The sequence below is a fragment of the Homo sapiens genome, chromosome 6 (genome assembly GCF_000001405.40).
Source record: "Homo sapiens chromosome 6, GRCh38.p14 Primary Assembly".
Taxonomy (NCBI): Eukaryota; Metazoa; Chordata; class Mammalia; order Primates; family Hominidae; genus Homo; species Homo sapiens.
Window position 1 is genome coordinate 168,535,314 of NC_000006.12, and position 20,974 is coordinate 168,556,287.

At 47.5% G+C, this 20,974-nt stretch overlaps 1 protein-coding gene across 4 annotated transcripts in view, besides 1 other annotated feature; it reads left to right on the forward strand.

Annotated features, from left to right (window-relative positions):
• SMOC2 (SPARC related modular calcium binding 2) overlaps positions 1–20,974 on the forward strand; it is a 226,809-nt gene that overhangs the window by 94,130 nt on the left and 111,705 nt on the right. For 2 of the 4 annotated variants that reach the window (NM_022138.3, XM_011536065.2), the window contains exons 5-7: positions 8,312–8,359; positions 11,773–11,856; positions 13,816–13,890. In NM_022138.3, the coding sequence (NP_071421.1) occupies positions 8,312–8,359; positions 11,773–11,856; positions 13,816–13,890 (207 nt within the window). The remainder of the gene's footprint in view (positions 1–8,311; positions 8,360–11,772; positions 11,857–13,815; positions 13,891–20,974) is intronic. The other 2 variants (XM_011536066.2, NM_001166412.2) reach the window with 1 other exon arrangement.
• Positions 5,010–5,937: an enhancer, noted in NCBI's record as "NANOG-H3K4me1 hESC enhancer chr6:168941003-168941930 (GRCh37/hg19 assembly coordinates)". NCBI's record gives its function as "activates a minimal SCP1, AML or CMV promoter by ChIP-STARR-seq in naive H9 embryonic stem cells {active_cell/tissue: H9 hESC(naive)}" and the evidence as "EXISTENCE:reporter gene assay evidence [ECO:0000049][PMID:30033119]".

Here is a 20,974-nt window from a genome sequence, read left to right on the forward strand (position 1 = left end):
CTTCTAATTATTTTTTGGACAAATGCTAATTATTTTACAGCACCTTTTTTCACTATATGCAGCTACAACAGTTAAATGTTGCAAAGATTTATGAAACTATTAAAATGTTGTGTGGCCCTTTAGCAAGAGTGATACAGCTGTACTCAGACATTTTTCTCCTGCCATTGAATCAGGGTCTCAAATCAGAAATCAGTAAATTCAGAACATTCCTTTTATCAGATGCACCTCAAATCAGGAATCCCAACTGTTTAAAGGCAGAATCACTAGGATAGAAAAAGACCCACGAAGCATAAAAGCCGGTGCCACAAAGTCCACCGAAACCCTCCTCCAAGTCCATAAATAACATAAAGGATCACTGAGCAAAAACAAATGGATTGCATTTGGTTTCTTCATCCACAGAAACACCGAAGTGGCAAAACTGAGGTTGAGCTGGAGGTGAGGATGTCAGGAGAGAGGCAGCGCCGCCGGGGGAAGATGGGAGGGAGACCAATGCGCAGTGACAGTGATCCTGGGGACACGTGAGGAATAACGCAGCAGTGATGCAGCTTCACGGCACAGGGGCGCCGCCGGGGGAAGATGGGAGGGAGACGCATGAGCAGTGACAGGGATCCTGGGGACACGTGAGGAATAACGCAGCAGCCATGCAGCTTCACGGCACAGGGGCCCGGCCGTTCTCTCTGGATTCTGGCTCGAATTTTCACACGTGCCAACCTCACTCGGAGGGCCTGATGGGCCCAGGCTGTGCCGGCTCCTGGAGTTTCTGGCCTGGCAGGTCTGTCGTGTGGCCAAAGTTTGCTTTCTGCCGAGTTTCCAGGCAGCGCTGGTGCTCGTGGCTGGCCCCACACTCCAAGCCCTGGGTTGAGGTGAGGGGCCTCACTCCAGAGGAACACAGGCCCACAGGGCAGCCATCCATGACCATCTCAACACGGGATCCTAGGATGGTCAAGGGGCCAGTGGGGGAGCCTGTGGCTGCCAGGGCCCCTCCTGATCCCGGGTGAGGGACGTCTTGCCTGCTTGGGGTCCTGGCCTGGCCATGCAGCTCAAGGCTGAGACAAAGAAGGAATACTTGGGAGCAGTGCCTTCAGAGGCTGACAGGAGCTGGCGGATAAGGAGGTGGTTGGGTCCCAGGGCACGGTGCCTGTGACTCTGAATGTCCCGCATGGGCCAGGGGGTGAAGCTCAGCCTCACGGTGACCCAGGGCCTCCCTGGGATGAGGCAGGAAGGAGGTCCTACCACTTCCAGTCATGTTATCTTGAGGATTATTTGACCATGGGCACTCAGGAAAATAGAAAATAGGTGATATTCCTCCTGTGCAAATTGCTTCTCCACTAAGCCTCCCCCGGACTCAGTGTGGAGAGAGGGGAGATGAGGTGGGAGGAGCTAAGGGCAGTGTGGACCTGGGCTGTGCCACCCCCTGGGGGTACTGTGGACCTGGGCCGTGCCGTCCCTGCTCCAGAATGTCCCCAACAAGGAGTGCGTGCAAGTCCTGCTTGGCCCCAACCTGTGGCCACGGTGAGGCTCAGGGATGGGACCCGGTGAAGTCGGATAGAGCAGAGGCATTCCCTGAGTTCTGGCAGCAGGACTACAGAGGACAGGTGTTGTGTGTGTCTGAAGCCTAGGGTATACACCCTGGCAGGGTCGGGGCAGCAGGGTCGGGGCTCCTGCCAGTGTCAGGACAAGAGTGAAAATGAAGGTGGCAGCTCTCAGGGTACAGGGGAGACAAGCCCGTGGTCACCTCCCTCGGCCGGCCAGTGCCGGGATTCTGGCTCATGCCAAGGAGACCCTGACTGGTCCAAAGGCCTTGTCTATTTCTTAGCTGTAAGCCGGTCCTATCTAGGGAGAGCAGTGTTCATCCTAATACAGCAGTCTGCAGGCTTGAGAAGCACTTGCTTAGCTGAAAGCCGGTCCTATTTAGAGAGAGCAGTGTCTGTCCTAATACAGCAGTCTGCAGGCTGTGAGAAGACTTGCTTAGCTGAAAGCCGGTCCTATTTAGAGAGAGCAGCGTCTGTCCTAATACAGCACTCTGCAGGCTGTGAGAAGACTTGCTTAACTGAAAGCTGGTCCTATTTAGGGAGAGCAGCGTCTATCCTAATACAGCACTCTGCAGGCTGTGAGAAGACTTGCTTAGCTGAAAGCTGGTCCTATTTAGGGAGAGCAGTGTCTGTCCTAATACAGCACTCTGCAGGCTGTGAGAAGACTTGCTTAGCTGAAAGCTGGTCCTATTTAGGGAGAGCAGCGTCTATCCTAATACAGTGCTCTGCAGGATGTAAGAAGCACGTTCTGTTCTTCGCTAGGACTCACCCCAGGAGGCCGAGTGGCTGGTTGGCTTCTCACAGGCCTGGAGCCCCTAAGAACACAGGACCGCTGCTGCCCTGGGGCCGAGAGACATATGCCCTCGGTCCTCTGGCAGGACACCCTCCCTGCCACGGCCAGTCTTGCAGTCTAAGGAGTGCAGAGGAGTCTCAGGTGGCTGGAGCCCACAGGGTGGATGGATGCAGTTCTGTCAGCACGAAGGGGAAAGGGCCTGGCCTGGAGTTCACCTCCCCTGCCCTCGGAGGGGCACCTGGGGACAGTTTCTCAGCCCTCCCAAGCCCACCTGTGTGACATGGCAGGGAAGCCCAGAGGCACTTCCTCACCCTGGAATCTGGGGAGTGGGGTGAGCTCTGCTGGAATCTGGCAGAGTGGGGTGAGCTCTGCTGGAATCTGGGGGAATGGGGTGACCACTGCTGGAATGTGGGGGAGTGAGGTGACTGACCCCTGCTGGGATGTGGGGGAGTGGGGTGACCGCTGCTGTAATCTGGGGAGTAGGGTGACCGCTGCTGGAATCTGGGGTGTGGGGTGACCCCTGCTGGAATCTGGGGGAGTGGGGTGACCCCTGCTGGAATCTGGGGAGTGGGGTGACCGCTGCTGGAATCTGGGGGAGCGGGGTGGCCCCTGCTGGAATCTGGGGCAGTGGGGTGACCCCTGCTGGAATGTGGGGGAGTGGGGTGACCCCTGCTGGAATGTGGGGGAGTGGGGTGACCGCTGCTGGAATGTGGGGAGTGGGGTGACCCCTGCTGGAATGTGGGGAGTGGGGTGACCCCTGCTGGCATGTAGGGGAGTGGGGTGACCGCTGCTGGAATGTGGGGGAGTGGGGTGACCGCTGCTGGAATGTGGGGGAGTGCGGTGACCGCTGCTGGAATGTGGGGGAGTGGGGTGACCGCTGCTGGAATGTGGGGGAGTGGGGTGACCGCTGCTGGAATGTGGGGGAGTGGGGTGACCCCTGCTGGAATCTGGGGAGCAGAGTGACCCCCTGCTGGAATCTGGGGGAGTGGGGTGACCGCTGCTGGAATGTGGGGGAGTGGGGTGACCGCTGCTGGAATATGGTGGAGTGGGGTGACCGCTGCTGGAATGTGAGGGGGAGTGGGGTGACCGCTACTGGAATGTGGGGGAGTGGGGTGACCCCTGCTGGAATCTGGGGAGCAGAGCGACCCCTGCTGGAATCTGGGGGAGTGGGGTGACCCCTGCTGGAATCTGGGGGAGTGGGGTGACCCCTGCAGAAGCAGGTGTTTTGGTGCAGATAAAAAGGCCCTTTAGAGGAGAGGGCTGCTGACCACATCCCCGGAGTCCTCAGCAGCAGAGATGAGCCCCAGGGTCAGGTTTTCTGTTGTCCCATCCCAGGTGGTTCAGGGACGCCGGCAGTCAACTCAGGAAAACCACCAGGGGACTGAGTCGCTTCCTCCCTTCGCTTTGGGCAGTGCTCAGTAACTGTGGCTCGTGCTCCCTGACACTGACGGGACCTGGACGGCCACATGAAATGCCCGCATGTCCCCTCTCAGTCTTCATGCTGACTGAAGCATGAGATTGCAAAAAATGTAGATGGCTTCTCTATTTCCTCCCCTGATTTTATATATTCTTAGATCAAAAAACTTAAATTTTATTTATAAACATGAAAATCACTGTGTGTAGAAAACCATCTCTTGTCTAGCCAGAGAGGCACCTGTTTGAGCTGCCACTGACAGAGAATCCCCACGGGGCTGGCCGGCTTTCTTGAACTCCGACTCCAAGGGCATCTCCATGCCAGCGCCCAGACAGGCAGCTCCGTCCCACTGCACCATTTCACACACCACCCTTTTCCACCCTTCTCACCACCCCTTGGTCCGTTCATAAGTGGGAAGGGTCCTGAGATCAAATCGTGGATCTGATGCCAACCAGAGCCCACAAGCCTCACAGGCCACACTGTGCATGGTGTCTGGGTCCCAGGACAGCGGGCTCAGGCCTTCCACACCGGCTCTAGCAGGCTGCTGCCTGAGAGAGTCCTGCCAGATGGGCAAGCCCAGTGGGGACAGAACGCTCCTAACAGGTGGGGCTTGCAGGGGGGCACTTCCAGCATCTGGAGCAGCTTGGCATCCCTGTGGTGGTGGATGGGCTGTGTGCTGCTCTCTGCCAGCCTGTGCGTGGTCTCCTGGCCCTCCCGGTCCACTCTCCCTTCTTTTCTGGCCCATGCCTACTCACCCCTTTACTCTTCCTCAGAGAGGCCTTTCTGCTCAAAGTCAGCTCTCCTGAGGACTAAAAAAGCAGGCCCTGGATCCTGGCTCTGCCGCTTCCTAAGTGGCCCTGGGCCAGTTACTTACCCCTCTGGTCTCACTTTCCTTGTCTGTATAACGGGCATGATGGCAGTCCCACCTCGCAGGGCTGGCATCTACATTAAATGACTTCAAGTCTGTGAAGGACATAGCAGGGATTGGCACACAGTAAGAGCTATATAGACATCAGCTGTGTACACGGTTGCAATAGACATTGCTTGAGTAAATTCTGTTTAATGCCCGCCTCCCCAAATTGGACTAAAGTGTGTAGTGCTGCGTCCCTGCCGTCGTTTCCTGTGGACACGTGACAGGTGTGTATGAGGGGGTGAGCCCAGGAATGAATGAATGCACATAAGGTGATGGCGGCGAGGGCCTGAGGGCTGCAGGCCATTTGGTGCCCTCCTAGAGGCTGCTCTGTTTTGGATGGCTTGGTCTGAGTGGGGAGCATTGCTCTTCCGGAGGGGACCTCTCCCCAGCTGCGTGTCCAGCAGAGCACGTGGAGAGGCAGCTTCCGATGGCGCACACAGCACATCTTTGGTGAACATCCATTGTGCACTCCTATGTGTGGGTTGCTCTGCTAGGTCCATTCAGCTGTACTTGGTGGGCTTTCACCACACTGCCCACTCCAGAGATGAAGAAACAGAGGTTTCGAGTGGTGAAGGTGCCTGGCCAGGGGCACGGAGCTAGGAGGGAGGGACGTTTGTTCTGCTGCCCATGCCCTGTCTTCTCCCTGCAGCGCCACATCCTCAGAAATTGGCACCCTCTTTCCTGTCACCCTCATGTTGTCCTGATGAGAGGATGGGAGGGCAGGAACCTTGAGAAAAGCCCAATAGCACAGAGACGCCGTCTAGACCAGAGAACGCAGCCCTTGCTGTTCCCTTTTCTTTTTCTCTCGCCTCCCTCATCTGATGCTGTAAACCTGCCCCCAGGATGTGAAGTTCTCGGAAGGGGTGAGCCGCAGGCTTGTTTAGCTGCTCTGAAGGAGGACTCCCTGCAGGGAGCTGCCCCTCACCCCTCTCACGTCTGTGCCGCAGACCTCCCTCCCCTCACTCACCTGGGAAGGGCGTCTGGAAGGAGCTTATGCAAACCACTGCCTCCATCAGCATAACACCGTTCCCTCCACTGGGCTGTTCTGGTAACACGTTGTTAAGGCTGAGAGCGGCTGGATTTGAACCAAGTGCTCAGAGCTACAAGACTTAACAGCTATTATTCCTCCCTTAAACCGGAGACGTTTCCTCACATTGTACTTTGTGGCTTCTTCCACCAGAAATTCGTATCCCCATTATGACAAAACCCACCCCTTTAGAATAGCATTTAGATGGAATGGGATCTCACAAATGGGAGCAATTCAGATGTGTCCTTTGGAATCCAAGGCTGAGGGGGATCACTTAGCAACCTCTTTGTGTCTGTGAACAGCAAGCAGATCCTTAAGGTCCAGCCTCCAGCCCGGGGTTCACAAAGGTGTTCACTGTCTGCAGACACTGTGCGTATCAGTCAACCCTTCTTTCTCGGCCCCTTTTCTGCAAGTACAGCCGGCAATCTTGCTTGTTATAAACACTTGGAAGTTCAGCAAATCCTTATCTCCAGAAAAATGCAATGACAGCATCAGAGTTGCTTTCTTGGGTCTGGATTTGTGTGCTTGCATGGCTCTGCTGGCCTGTGGAAATATGTGGAGCTATTTTCCCATCCTGGAGGCCAGGATCTTACAGGAAGGCAGGGGCAGGAAGGTTGGGCATCATCTTTTCATCCCAAGGTGGTTAAAAGGTGAAGTCAATGCACTATCAGGATCTCCTCCAATTTCTGTCTTGTAAAATATTTGAGTCATGAATCACGGAGCAGGTTATCAAGGGACGCTGGGTTCTGTCTTGAAATCATCTCTTACATATGAAGAACAAGATCAGATTAACTTTGTGTGGACTTATTTAAGGAAACACTGATTCAATGCAAGGGCCCGAAGAGAAAGCCACAGTGCTGGTCGGCTCAGAGACAGAGGCTGCCTGAGTGTAGAGAATGTTTAAATGTTGGATTCTGACCTCAGGCGAAATTTTGAATTTGCAGTCTGTACTGTTCTGTCTGTACAGTGCAAAATATTTTCTTATTTCAATTGAGAAACTCTCTCATGAAAGATATTCTAATTATTAGCATATTTACATTTTCCTTACGATATTAAAACCTGCACAGAAATATTCAGAACTATTATCAAAATATGATCATTTCCCGTCAAAAGTAGAAAATACTTTTTGCCTCTTTCGGGAACACATGATAAAAATAAACTGATGACTGAGAAGCTTAAGCTCTTTAAGAAATGTGGATTTGTAAAGAGATGATCCAAAAGGGAGAAACAAGCAAAGGAGGATTTTGAGAGCTTCAGGAGGTGGCCACACAGTGAGGTTAGCTTTGTATCCTAGGGGATTCTTACCAAGAAAAACCTTGTATTGCAAGGCCTGGAAACAATGTAATATGTAACCAAATGGTAACAGTAACAGCTGGGAAAGAGAGAAAGGCTGGCTTTGGCAGATGAACCAGGAGAATTGTGTTCCTTTTTATCCCCTGGGGACACTAAATTCCCAAACGCATATTATTTAGTTATTTTTAGATATGCAGCCTGCAGGGAAACCGCTGAGAACATTCCCGTGTAAATCCTCATTCAGCTTTCTGAAGTCAGCATTGTCTGATGAGTACCTGTTACAGAGGAGGGTTTGGGGTGGCTGCGCTGTGTTCCTTCATAGGAACCGTTGACATGTGTTTAGGGGTGTCTGGGCACTGTGACCTCGAGGCAGTGTCCGCTGAGAGTGCCAGAGGATGGATGGCGCCTTGAAGTTACTCCGTTTTCTCTGCCATCCAATGAATTGCTTGTAAATTTCCTGCCACATTACTATTGCATTTCCCAAAAATAAGATAAACATCCTCAAAATGTCATAAGCTATATTTTTAATTTGAATGTTGGTCTGTATTTCTGTCATATGCAAAATTGAAAAAAAAAGAAAACAAAAACAAATAATTTCAAGTTCTAAGATGTTTCCCCTGAGGAGTTTTACTGGGCATGTGTATGGCTATGGGAATTCCACGTTAATTCTAAACAGAATATTCAACTGCCAGTAAACTCTGAGACGAACTATTTTTATTTCTCGAGTTGGTATTCTAATGAAGAGGGGGAAGTGGATCCATATAGTGGCTTCAGTCTGTTGGAAGAGAAAGAACTACACTTTCTATTTGTAATATGCATCTTTCAGCATCATATAAACATTTAAACTTGGTCACACATTAGTTAGTAGATTTTCAATACTCTACCAAAAGGTAGTTCCTCGCCATTCTCCTCTATAAATCAGAATCAAGCTGAAATCAGGGTTTTTAGTTATCTTTGGTTGTGTAATGTCTTAAGATTTTAAAAACGTTTCCTTTTTTACCTAATTCACTTCAGTACCCCAACATGGGTATGTATGTTATGGCTATGATGACATTTTTGAGGTGAAGAGACTAATATATTGGGTTTTAAGGTCTTATATACATGTGCAACCCCTTAGCGCCAGAAGCAGAAACTAATCTTTTGTTTCTGAGTCCAGGGTCTGAGTGTTTAGGTGACAGTGTCCCCTCAGGGTACTAGACAGCTTACAGAATTTAAGTAGAACATGCCGAAGCACGGCAAATTAGTCAAAATGGAGCAAAAATATGTGCATAACTTAATTTGTGATGGCCATTTAAGAGTCCAAAATAATTTCATTTCACTCCTTATTTTCCTCTTTTAGGTTCCGTAAATGAAAAGTTACCCCAACGCGAAGGCACAGGAAAAACAGGTAACTATCTTAGAATAAATGTCTATGACGATATGTAACATCTAACTTATCCCGTGAAATAACTTCTCAAGTTAAAGTTGAAACATCCACTAGTGATGATGATGAGAGCCGAACCAGTTTGTTACTTCTGCATTCATTCAGCAATGCCATTCACTCACGATCACCAGCTCTGTTGGGCCTGTGCTCCGCTGGGGTCGCTGGTGTTGGACCTGTGCTCCGAGGCTTGTTTCGGGACCAACGGCAGATGCTGTTAGGACCCCCTGGAACCTCCCAGTCTGTGACTGTGGAGAGGGCTGAGGCTCAGTATTTTGGCTCCCTGTGGGATTCTAAACCATTGCAGTTATTGAGGACCCTGATAAAGATGCCTCAACTCCTCCCTACAAGGAGGAAGAGGAACAGTTTTTCTACCTACAGCAATCCCTGCCTCTGAGACTGGTACAAACAAGAGCTGAACAGAACCCTTAACCTTAAACATCATGTCGCAGCCTGCAGGTCCTGTTTCGGGGTCTGCGGGGTCTGTCACATGCCCACCATGACCCCCCTGGGAAAGTCTCCATCCTCTTCTCTGCCCTTGCCTCGGCCAACACCCTTCAGTACCAGGACACATTTCTGCTTTTCTCTTACATCAGCCTTTAAAGTCAGACGTTGTTTTCAAGATGAGAAGAAATACTTTAGTACCAAAATTTTAGGTACTTTTCTTTTCTAGTGTAGGTTACAGTGTAATGAACCAGTAACAAACAAAAATAATATAAACACAGACCAGGCCGAGGCAGGCAGATCACCTGAGGTCAGGAGTTTGAGACCAGCCTGGCCAAAATGGTGAAACGCCATCTCTACTAAAAAGACAAAAATTAACCAGGCATGGTGGTGCATGCCTGTAATCCCAGGTAGTCAGGAGGTTGAGGCAGGAGAATTGCTTGAGCCCAGGAGATGGAGGTTGCAGTGAGCCGAGATCACGCCACTGCACTCCAGCCTGGGCAACAGAGTGAGATTCTGTCTCAAAAACAAAAACAAAATAATAAAAATAAAAATCGGAGTTTTATTCAACCAATCCCTTCTGCATGTGTGGAAACTGTGGTGGGGCCCATCCCTGCCCTGGAAGATCCTTTGCAAAAAGAGTTCTGTATTACTAGGACACTGACATTTTGGAGGGACAAGCTGGCATGAAAGTAAATGTCAGGCTTTCTGTCCAGAGGGTGCCTACCAAGGATGAGGCAGGACTGGCTTCCTGGAAGGGGAAATATGTAACAGGTGTGAGCTGGAACAGAAGAAGCCTCACAGTCAAGGAAGATAGCTCATTTTCCAGCCGAAAAATGATGACAGGCATAATGGGGACACTGGGTTGGGGGAGGGTTTATGTTTGGAAAGGAAGGGGTAAAGTTGCATAGAGCAATAGTGTGAGCTGCGTGAACTGAGTCGAGAAGATAATGGTGTGGGTATGTCGACATTTGTAGAGAAAGGAAGGGACAATCTCATGATTAGGAAAATTAATCAAATGTGGAAAGGGAGGAGGAGATGGAAGGATCATCGTCTTTCAGAGGGCATTTCTTAATCCTGTTTATTATGATATTTATTGTACCCACTGTAAAAAAAAAAAATCTAGAGGAATTAGTACATGGGCATGAAAGTGAGTTAAGGAAAGAACACACCCCCCACTTTAGGCCGGAATACGCAGAGGGGATACCTGGATTAAGCAACAGAGCTGGTTTCCAGACACAAATAAGACACTTCACACACTCTGATAGAGGGAAAGTAAAAAATGCACAGCTCTTCGAGATTTTTGTTTTATTTCCTTAAGGCTGACTTCAGCAGCCACCAATGGCCTTGTTTGTTGGGACAGAGCCACCCCGTCTGTGAGGGACGGGGGCATGGAGTAGGGCCTATGATGACCGTGCTGAGGAGGGAAGCATGGACAGGGCAGGAAGGAGAGCGGCCTCTGGTGCCCAGAATCAGGGCTGGGAGGAGGAACGGCCAGTGGGCCCATTACTCACCCTGTCCTCAGGCCACACCTGCCCTCCCTGCCTGCCATTCAGGCTGAGCTTTCAGACTGGTCTGGCCCCAGTGACTGGGGAATGGGCTGGTGGTCCCAGAGTGGTGACTTGGTGAGGCCTCAGCAAAAACACACAACAGTAATAATGTATTTGATTGTCCTCATTCCAAAAAATTTCAAATATGTTCTTTTAAGACTTTTTGTATGTTCTTGTGTTTAAAATATGTTTCCCATTTTGTTTTATTTTCTTGGAAGAAGATTGTAAAATATTCAACCACAGAATATTCCTAGTTTATTGTTATTATCAGTGTTAGACTTGGATATTTCAAATAACTGATGTTACATTTTTGTCAGTATTTTGATAGCTAGCAAACTGTTTTTGAGAGATTGCTCAATGTTAAATTTTTTTGAAAATCTGTTTTGATTTTCCCCCTAAAAAGTCTTATAAGAAACTTTATTCTTTAGACCACTGGGAAGTTCATGACTTAGTTATCTACGTAAGCCTTGTATCTGGCCCTCATCTTTGCCACTTTTTCCTATATTTCAATCCAAAAGTTATTTAACAAAATGATATAAGCAAGCTTCAGTGAAAAAAAAAAAAAAAAAAAAAAAAAAGGATGATCCTGAGAGCACCACAGTGCCTTGTGATTGCCTCCTGGGTGGGGCCCTGAGTGTCTGGAGAAGGACTCCTGACTCACAGGCTCCACCATCCTGCCAGGTCTCTGAGCCATTTAAAACCTCTTTCTTTACCAGGGGGCCCAATGTGTGTGTGTCAATTAATTAAATACAGATTCTTCACTTGGAAAATGCGAGTCTATGGGTGGTGTAGGGGCCTGTGACACCCCAGTCCGCCCTTTCCTCCATTCTCCGATCACTTTCGCCCTGTCCCCTCCACCCCGTGCCCCACTCACATCCTTACTTAGATTATGCCATGGCAGCAGTGGAGAGAGGGAGGGCCAGAGGTGTAGAAAGGGGTCCAGGATTCTCCAACCCTTGCCTTTCTCTTGGGGAAAACAGAGGATGTGTTAAGGGCACAGGGCTCTGCTCAACCCCACCCCAGTCCCTGCCAAGCCCTCTTTTGTAACCTCCAGTGGCCTGAATTTATGACTTCTCTTTCCCAGGGCTAGACTTTCTTTACTCTAATTATTTTGATTCCTTCCTCATCTGCCCTATGGCCTGTGATTGGCTCTGATAGTTTAGAACTGATCGGATATTTTCCACGTGAAGTTAGGTCAGTGTCTAGCCTCGAGCATTTTAAGTAGCGGCTCACTCAAGACTGGTATAGTCATTCCAGCCGCAGCTGCAGGCAGCATCGCGTTGGGTCTGTGTGGGGTTGCTGTTGTGGTTGATCTGTGGGGACTGAGTGCAAGTCCTCAGCATCCACCCGTATGCACACTTACTTAACTTACTCTCATAATTGTAGTCTCCTTGCAAATCTTTTCCGTTCTGAATTCAGATGATGCCGCAGCTCCAGCGTTGGAGACTCAGCCTCAAGGAGATGAAGAAGGTGAGCCGGGGTGGGGATTGCACAGTCTGGGTTGGGGAGGAGTGCGAGGGACGGTATGGAGCTGGGAAGTGGAGCGAGTCATCTTGTTAGAGCTCCGTTCAGTATGGAGTGTAACATGCCAGACACAGACAGAAAAGACCACGTGATCTTACTTATATGTGGAATCTCTTTAAAAAAAACAAACAAACAAAACTCCAATAGTGAGGAGAGGAAAACAGCAAGCCGAAAGGTGGTCACGAAGGGTAGGGTAGGATGGAGGAAACAGAGGGATGAGGCCAGAGGCTGCGAAGCTGCAGTTACGTGGGATGGACAAGTCCACACATCCGGCGTACAGCACGAGGAATCTAGTTAGTGATGAAATGACAATGGATGGCATACCACACATCCAGCACATAGCATGAGGAATATACTTAATGATGAAACGGCAACGGATGGCATAGTAAACATTTCCTAGCCACACGCCCCTGAAGTAACTGTGAGATGCTGGGGATGTGAATTGCTTGGCTGTAGAAATAATTTCACTGGGTAAATGTGTATCTAAACATCATGATGTTAGACAGGGATAAAAGAGCAAACTCAAGCAGAAACGGATTGTGTGTGGCCGTGTCCAGCCTTATGAGGGCACCCACTGTTTTTCCTGATGTCTTTGGAGCGAGGGATTTTCAGATATTGCCATGGTGCATTCTCATGAGGGTTTCGTTAAATACACATTTCTAAGTTGAAATTTTACAGCTTGGATAATATAAAATGTATGGCCATTTTCCCTGTTTACATTTCACGTCTTTACAAGTGGTCATAACAAGGAGAGATTTCCTGTTTTTACCTTTAATACATTGTCTTAGGTATTTACCAGTGTATAAAAATTATCAGGTCAAAGGGAACCGGGGTTTAAGGGCAAAGTGTAAGGAGTACACAGTATAAATTAACAAAACCTTAAAATGTAGAACTGCATTATGCTTTGCAAATAATAATAATGACTGATGCTGCGTGGTCCTAAGCGCTACACAATGTGTGATCTGCTGCCATGAGTCCCTGGACCTTCTGAATGCCCTTCCGCAGATGAGAGCCCTGTGGCAATTGACCCAAGTCCATCTGGGTGTAAATGGCAACTGGCATTCAAACCCAGATGTCTTCTTCAGGGTCTGTGCTCTCAAGCACTAACGGTGACCTGCACTACATTCCTTTTTTTTTTTTTTTTTTGTGAGACAGAGTTTTGCTTTTGTTGCCCAGGCTTCTGGAGTACAATGATGCGATCTCAGCTCACTGCAACCTCCGTCTCCTGGGCTCAAGCGATTCTCCTGCCTCAGCCTCAGGAGTAGCTGGGACTACAGGCACTTGCCACCACCCCTGGCTATTTTTTTTTTTTTTGTATTATTAGTAGAGACAGGGTTTCACCATGTTGGCCAGGCTGGTCTTGAACACCCGACCTCAGGTGATTCACCTGCCTTGGCCTCCCAAAGCGCTGGGATTAACAGGTGTGAGCCACCATGCCCGGCCCATTCAATTTTATTTGTTAAACAAGATTACTACAAAAGGGGTGTTCCTGAAAAGTTTCAGGCAAAAGTTATACTTCACATATTGCATTTTATAATGAATCTTTCAACTGAGTGAAAACGTTGTATGTTATGTGAATAGCCATTTTAACTACACAAGAATATATTTTTGTACACTGGGTATTTTTCTAAAATCTGATTCTTTCAAAGTGAATTCTGTCTAGACCCAAAGAGCTTTTAACTATACTTTTGGATAGAGAGAAGAATGCCAAAAATATTTTAAATGTATATTATGATTTCCTTTCGTCTGAGGCATATAATCAGTGTAACTATTTCTTTACAAATGTACAATGTGTGTTATGTTGATTTATTTTGGCTGTTGGACTACTTGCTGCACTGCGTAACTAAGGAACATTGTGCTTTCGTGATGAATTAAAGATGCTTGTCATTTCATTTTGGTTCATAGATATTGCATCACGTTACCCTACCCTTTGGACTGAACAGGTTAAAAGTCGGCAGAACAAAACCAATAAGAATTCAGGTAAGATGCTGCCTGATGTCACTTTGTAAGGAGTGATTTAATAGATCTAGAAAATGATGGGGTTTTTTTTTGGAGTTAAGTGTATTGTACAGTTGACCCTTGAACAACATGGGGGTGAGGGGTGCAGACCTGGCACAAACATCTGAGGATAACTTTCAACTCCCCCCAAAATAATAACCTCTTGTAGACTGGCAGCCTTACCCATAATACAGTTAGTTAACACATAGTTTGTATGTTATATGTATTATATACTGTATTCTTACAAAAATAGAGAAAAGAAAATTTATTAAAAATCATAAGGAATAGAAAATATATTTATTATTGATTACATGGAAGTGGATCATCATAAAGGTCTTCGTTCTCCTCATCGTCTTCACGTTGAGTGGGCTGAGGAGGAGGAAGAGGAGGAGGGGCTGGCCTTGCTGTGACAGAGGCAAAGGATAAATCCTTGTAACAGTGGACCCATGACATCAAAACTCTGTTGTTCAGGGGTCAGCTGTAAATATTCTCACTTGGTTACTCAGTCATGAAAATAATTCTTATTATTTGATCACCGGCATATATTTTTAAATTCGGCATTTTAAAATTAAATTTTCTAAATTCTTTAACAGATTTCTCTGTGGATGTCAAACTATAGCTTTAGTTAATAAGTAAATAATTATAAATTTGCTTTTGACCTAATTTCAGAGATGTTAAAACACTTTGCTAATTTAGTTTAAAATCCTCCAAATTGTGTGCATTTTGTTTGCTATAAAGCAGTGTTTGAGAGAACTTTCACCTTTTAAAGCTGACTATTTTGACATTTTGAAGACCAGTAATGGGTTGCTTCATCTTTGGTTAATGATTTTGACTGTTTTCATGGAAGCGGGTTTGTTCTGTAATTTTCATTTAGGCTCTCAGTTGATTGCTTGTGTGTTTCTCATTGCCTTTTCAAATAAGAATTTCACAGATTCTTACTGAAGGGAAGTAGCTCTGTAGGTTTAAAGTAGTTCAGCTGCTGAGGAAATACGGAGTTAGTAACAGCTTGAATTTTCTGCGATCAGCTTTGGGTGAAAAAATTGCAAACATTCACAGAGGCTGCTTATGCATTAAAACTTTATCTGTGGTTATGCATCCATATATTCTTCTGCTTACAAAAAAAATCAAAAGGTATATTAAAGTTCAGGAGACTAAGAGTGGTTCGATTCCCCCTTCACCCAGCTCTTACACACCCAACCTGAAAAGGACCCTTGAGGGAAGTGCCTGAGTCCCCTTAAGCCAGCAGCCACCTCAGAACCCCATGGCGAGTCTATGGTAGGCCCGTCCACTGATTTCCACCTGCAAAGCTAGCGCGGTGCAATGCCAGATGAGCTGGCACAGGTCCAATGTGTGATCTCTGCCCCATGATGCTCTGAAATCACTGCCTCCAGCCCCGGAGTCTTAGCTGTGTGGCATCTTCTTGTTACTTTACCCTTCTGGGCGGAGATGAGGAAGGGCAAACCCCAAGGGCCCCCCACCGTCTACAGGCACACATGGCAGAAACATTTAATACCTATTTATAACATTTTTCTCAGAAATGCTTGTTATAGATGAGTTTTTCCTATTATATGGAGATATTAATCTCTTTACATGTCTCATGAACTTTTGACACTGGGTTTTGTTCAATTTTGTCACCCCATTTAAAAAAGTTATTTTGATTTATTTCTGTTTCATACAAATTTGTATATGAGAGATTAATTAAAACACTGTATGTTTCAGGTTTACTGGTTGATATGGTTGGGCGTTGTGTCCCCACCCAAATCTTATTTAGAATTGTAATCCCCATAATCTGCACATGTCAATGGAGAGACCAGGTGGAGATAATTGAATCATGAGGGCGGTTCCCCCCATGCTGTTCTCATGATACTGAGTGAGTTCTCACGAGATCTGGTGGTTTTATACTGGGCTCTAACCCCTTCGCTGGGCACTTCTCCTTCCTGCTGGCTTGTGATGAAGGTGCCTTGCTTCCCTTCACCTTCTGCCATGATGGTAAGTTTCCTGAGGCCTCCCCAGCAATGCTGAACCGTGAGTCCATTAAACCTCTTTCGTTTATAAATTGCCCAGTCTTGGGGAGTTCTTTATAGCAGGATGAAAATGGACTAATACATTGGTAGATCTTGAAAACCATTGAAGAATAAATATGTTAGCACCTAAACTTAATTTGACATTCTTGTAAATGATTTTACTGGAAATATACTTTATTTTATTTATTTATTTATTTATTTATTTATTTATTTATTTATTTATTTTGAGAGAAAGTCTTGCTCTGTCACCCAGGCTGGCGAGCAGCAGCACAATCTTGGCTCACTGTAACCTCCGCCTCCCAGGTTCAAGCGATTCTCCTGCCTCAGCCTCCTGAGTAGCTGGGACTACAGGCACCCACCACCACACCCAGCTAATTTTTGTATTTCTAGTAGAGACAGGGTTTCACCATGTTAGCCAGGCTTGTCTCAAACTCCTGACCTCAAGTGATCTGCCTGCCTCAGCCTCCCAAAGTGCTGAGATTATGGGCGTGAGCCACCATGCCAGGCTAAGAAATATAAATGTACATTTTTTTAAGCCAATGTAACCATTTCAGGCTTCAGCAGATTAAGCTCCATGTAAACCTGTGGAAGAAGAGCATTTCTGTGTCTCACCTCTCACTTGCCACTTGCAGATTTCCAAGACTTCAAATGACCTGCCATTATAATTAACCAGTAAAAACTGAGCAGGCTTTTGGTATTTAGTGGGACTGAAAATAATGTTTTAGGAAATTCCAGTTTACAGAAGTTACCTTACACTATAATTTGGTTTAAGTCAGCCGAGATGAGTGGAGCACGAAAAGATGGCATTGAGTTGATTTACAGACACGGGGCATGAAGCTACTGGACTATGTTTGTGTTTAATACCAGTTTTCTAGCTACATGTTCTTTCTGAGGGGCTGAAGAAACACCTAGTTGGTATTTTAGGACATTAAAAATAATATTTAATTTATTAAGTTTTAACAATGAAATGACAATCATAGGATATATATAATGACCACTCTTATTGAAATTTCAAATATCAGAAGAGTGTCATTTATACTTAATTTTAATTTTTAAAATATACTTTTACTTGTAATCATCTTCGGTAGACATAGACACATTTATTTGAGAAAATGTAAGTAATTTTTGATAATAATTTGGGTATTTAAAAAAATTTATCTAGCTTGTCAGTACCTTTTCCTGTTTTTTTATTAAAAAGGCCAAACTGAAAATGCATTGCTTTTTGTTTCTCTGATGTTTCTTTATATCAGATAAAAGTAGTATTTTTCCCCATGAATTTGTATGAAAATAATGTGACTTTTGTTCCCGCAGACATAGAATATGGTTGCCATGCATCCAAATGCCCATGTGCACACTAGCAAGATGTGGTCACATATGCTTTGGAGCATATAATGATAGTAGTCTTTTAAAAGGGACTATTTTTACAAAGGAAAATAAAATACTTCTCTGAAAATTTGCACATGGTAGCTACACAATAAAATCATGCCTCCTGTGGGGTTTGAACCAAATTGGGATCTGTAAGTCAGGCAGAATTCCTTCATACCCAGGCCAGACTGGATTTAGATTGGCAAAGACCCCCCCACCCCCCCACCAGCCTGTTGCTCACTCCAGGCCCCAGCAGAGAGCCCACCGAGGGTGGCCCCTCACTGTCCTCCGAGATGCTCTGCAGGAGGTGAGTGACGGCACTTGAAAATTTGCACATAGTAGCTACACAATAAATATGCATTAAATGAATAAAGATTTGTACCAGCATATGTTCCACGGGCCCTACTGTAGCATCATTACTCTTTTTAAAACAAGCTGAATGAAACAAACAAAATAACCAAATTAATACATAACTGGAAAAGAGAGAATCTAGGCACCCCTAGAGGTTGCCTATTAGACTTATATTGATTTAAATTTAATAAATATATAAGTCAAACATTCTCTTGGCTCATTTAGTAAGAAAATCATCACTTTCATCATGTGAATCATATACATTAAATAAACGAGTAAAATCTGAAGTTGCCTGTTACTTAAAAGTGCATTACTCAGTTTTTCCCATCAATATAAAATTGTGTTACTTCTTTTACTGTCTCAAATCATCTTTGTTTTATTACTCTTTTCATAGAAGATACATAAACTAGTTACAAGATTTTATCAGATAAGACATTTTGTAAGATACAGTCTTTTAATTATGTAAGATTTAAACAAATGTAAATCGAATTAGTACTCTTCCCTACTGGCATATTAAGTACTTTCTAGATTTCTGCCTGATTTCCTTTAAAACCAATCTAAAACTGAAGAGGAGACTGCAACTTCTTTTCTTACTTGAGCCAGCTACTAACATCTTCACAAAATAACAAACACTCTTCATGAATTACCAACACCAAGGTGCTTAGGGTTTCATGACCCATTCATAATAAAACACATCCCCTCTAGACAGAAAAGCATATGATCGTGGCATGTCAAAGCCAAGGAGGGCTCTATCTCTGGGGCGAGGAGGCATCCAGGCTCACGGGACGGTTTCTGTATCACGGTTGCCATTTGCCACCATTTGCCATAGTGACGTGACCTATGGGAAAGAGCACTCAGAAATAATGGGAAGATGGAGAACATGTGGAAGGCCAGCTGTCTCACATTTTGGTAGGAGGATTATTCCATGGGACGAGTCGATTAAAACTTGCTTTTGAACTGCGTGTGCTGTGCATGGTGCCCCTTCCCCACCAGGTATCAGCGTTTTTCACGTTTTGGTAGGAAGATTATTCCATGGGACGAGTCGGTTAAAACTCGCGTTTGAACTGCATGTGCACGGTGCCCCTTCCCCACCAGGTATCAGCTTTTTTCACATTTTGGTAGGAGGATTATTCCATGGGACGAGTCGGTTAAAACTCACCTTTGAACTGCGTGTGCTGTGCACGGTGCCCCTTCCCCACCAGGTATCCGCATCTGTCACGTACAGTGAGGCTGCCATCATGTTGTTTTCAGGTGCCATAGTCTCCCACAAGACAGGAGGACCAGATAAGCCCCATCATGTGATACTTACTCTATGCAGATTTCTTAAAGTCATGCTGAAAAACTTGTCTCGATTTCCATCAATTAATTAACACCTTGGGGTGTCCTACTACTATTATACAGAGCACTGAAGAGAACATGAAAGAAAGAAGAAATAGGTGCAGGAGCTCAAGAAGCTTCTGTTAAGCTTCTGCAGGAACTTTTTTACACTTAGGAAGTTAGAAGCATTCTGCTGGGCTCCTGGGCTCCTGGGCTCCTGGGCAGCCTGCCCCTGGAAGGGGTGGGGGTGGAGAGGAGGGGCACGGAGGCCCCCCGTCTCAGGCCTGCACAGGCCGTTCTGGGACTGCGTGTCCTGGAAGACCTTTCCTGATTATCAGGACACAAGGCCAGACGTGGGACCACACACAGTCCTCGGAGCTGGCAGCCAGACTTTGTGGCTGGCAGTTAAAGGCAATTTGGTGTTCGTGGCCCACTGGCAAGGTGAATTTGGTTGCTTTCCTTAACACCGTGTGCCCAATTCCTGATGGAGCCATGCTGCCACAGGGCTTTGCCACGTGGGGAGATGGTCAGGTCGGCTGCCCAACTACATTCTGTGTTTTGGGGACCTCATTTGGTTCTGAAATGGGTCTCACTTTGCCCAAGATGCCGGGGGCATCTGCTGCTGGGTCCCCTCTCACCACAGGGCGTGTGCTCCCTCGGGCACGAGTTCTCTCTGGCATTTTTGAAAGGCCTTTTACTGTGATATCAGTGAAAATGAAAGCTGAAGCAGTTCCTGATAAAGGGGGAAAGTGGATTTCGCCAAGTGGGCCTGACTGGTCCCAGCATCTGCACAGCGCTCAGCGCTCGCCTGCAAGCGCAGCTCAGGGCTTCCCTGGGGCCAGCTCCCGGCTCCTCTCGGCCTCGCCCTCAAGTCGGGACTTTCCTTCTTCGGTAACATGTCTCCACCGGGCCTGCAATCATTAGCCAGCCGGGATGAGACTAAGTGCTTAAAGGCTATTTCATGTTGGAGATTTAAAAAAGCACATATTGCAAAAGCGGTTCAACGCGCGGAGAAATTCACCCACTCTTGTCTCCACCCGTCAAATATCCGGGGTCCTGTGACCTGGGGTCCTGGGGTTGGCTGGTTGCGAAGCAGAGTGACGAGGAAGACGGAAGAGCTCTGTTAGCACGCAGCTCCCACCATCAAGCTTCCCACCAGGGGCCAAGCAGGGAAGCCCTTACCTTCCCGTCGCCTACACAGAGAGGCTGGGTGCTGGCTCAGCCAGCCCAGCGAGCTCCTTCTCCCTCTGCCAGCACCCTGCTCCCCGTGGGATTTGGGATGGACGTATGGCGTCCACGGCCGCATGTTACAAGGTCCCACTCATAGCATGCACTGTGGAACCTAAATCATGCCTCTTGCGGGATTTGAACCAAATTGGGATCTGTAGCTCAGGCCAAATTCCTTCACACCCAGGCCAGATTGGATTCAGATGGGCAAAGACCTCCCAGCAGCCTGCAGCGGGGAGTGGCCGCCCGGACACACCTTCGCTTTAGAGGAAGGGTAGAGGACCGTCGAGCTTGATCCTCTACGCCCTGAGCACCTGTTTCTGTTGACCCCTCTCGGCCCTGAGCCCTTGTCTCCTGCGCGGTCCTCCTAAGGCCGAGGCAGCACCGGGCAGTCCCTTACCAGCAGGGTGGGCGGCTGCTGGATGGGTCGGGGCCAGACACCGCTGGGGGCACTGCGTGGACGAGGTGGACGCTGAAGTCAGGGCCTCTGAGCGACACCATCCTCGCCGTGGCGGGGTCCAGGCAGGCCTGGGGCCTCGGGCCATGCGGGTCTCAGCCCGAGGCGTCGTCTTCACTGTTGAGGGGACCCCCTCCACGTCCAGGCCTTCCCCTCCCCGCACGGGGAAGCTGAAGTGTTCCCGGGGGTCCGCGGCTGTGCGGGAGGGAAGGAGGGACTCAGGTGGGGGTCCCAGCTCCGAGGGCGTCCGTGGCCTCTCCCGGCTGGGGTGGGGCTGCCCACAGGACTCTCCCCACGCCCATACTCGGGAACCAGGGGAAGCTGC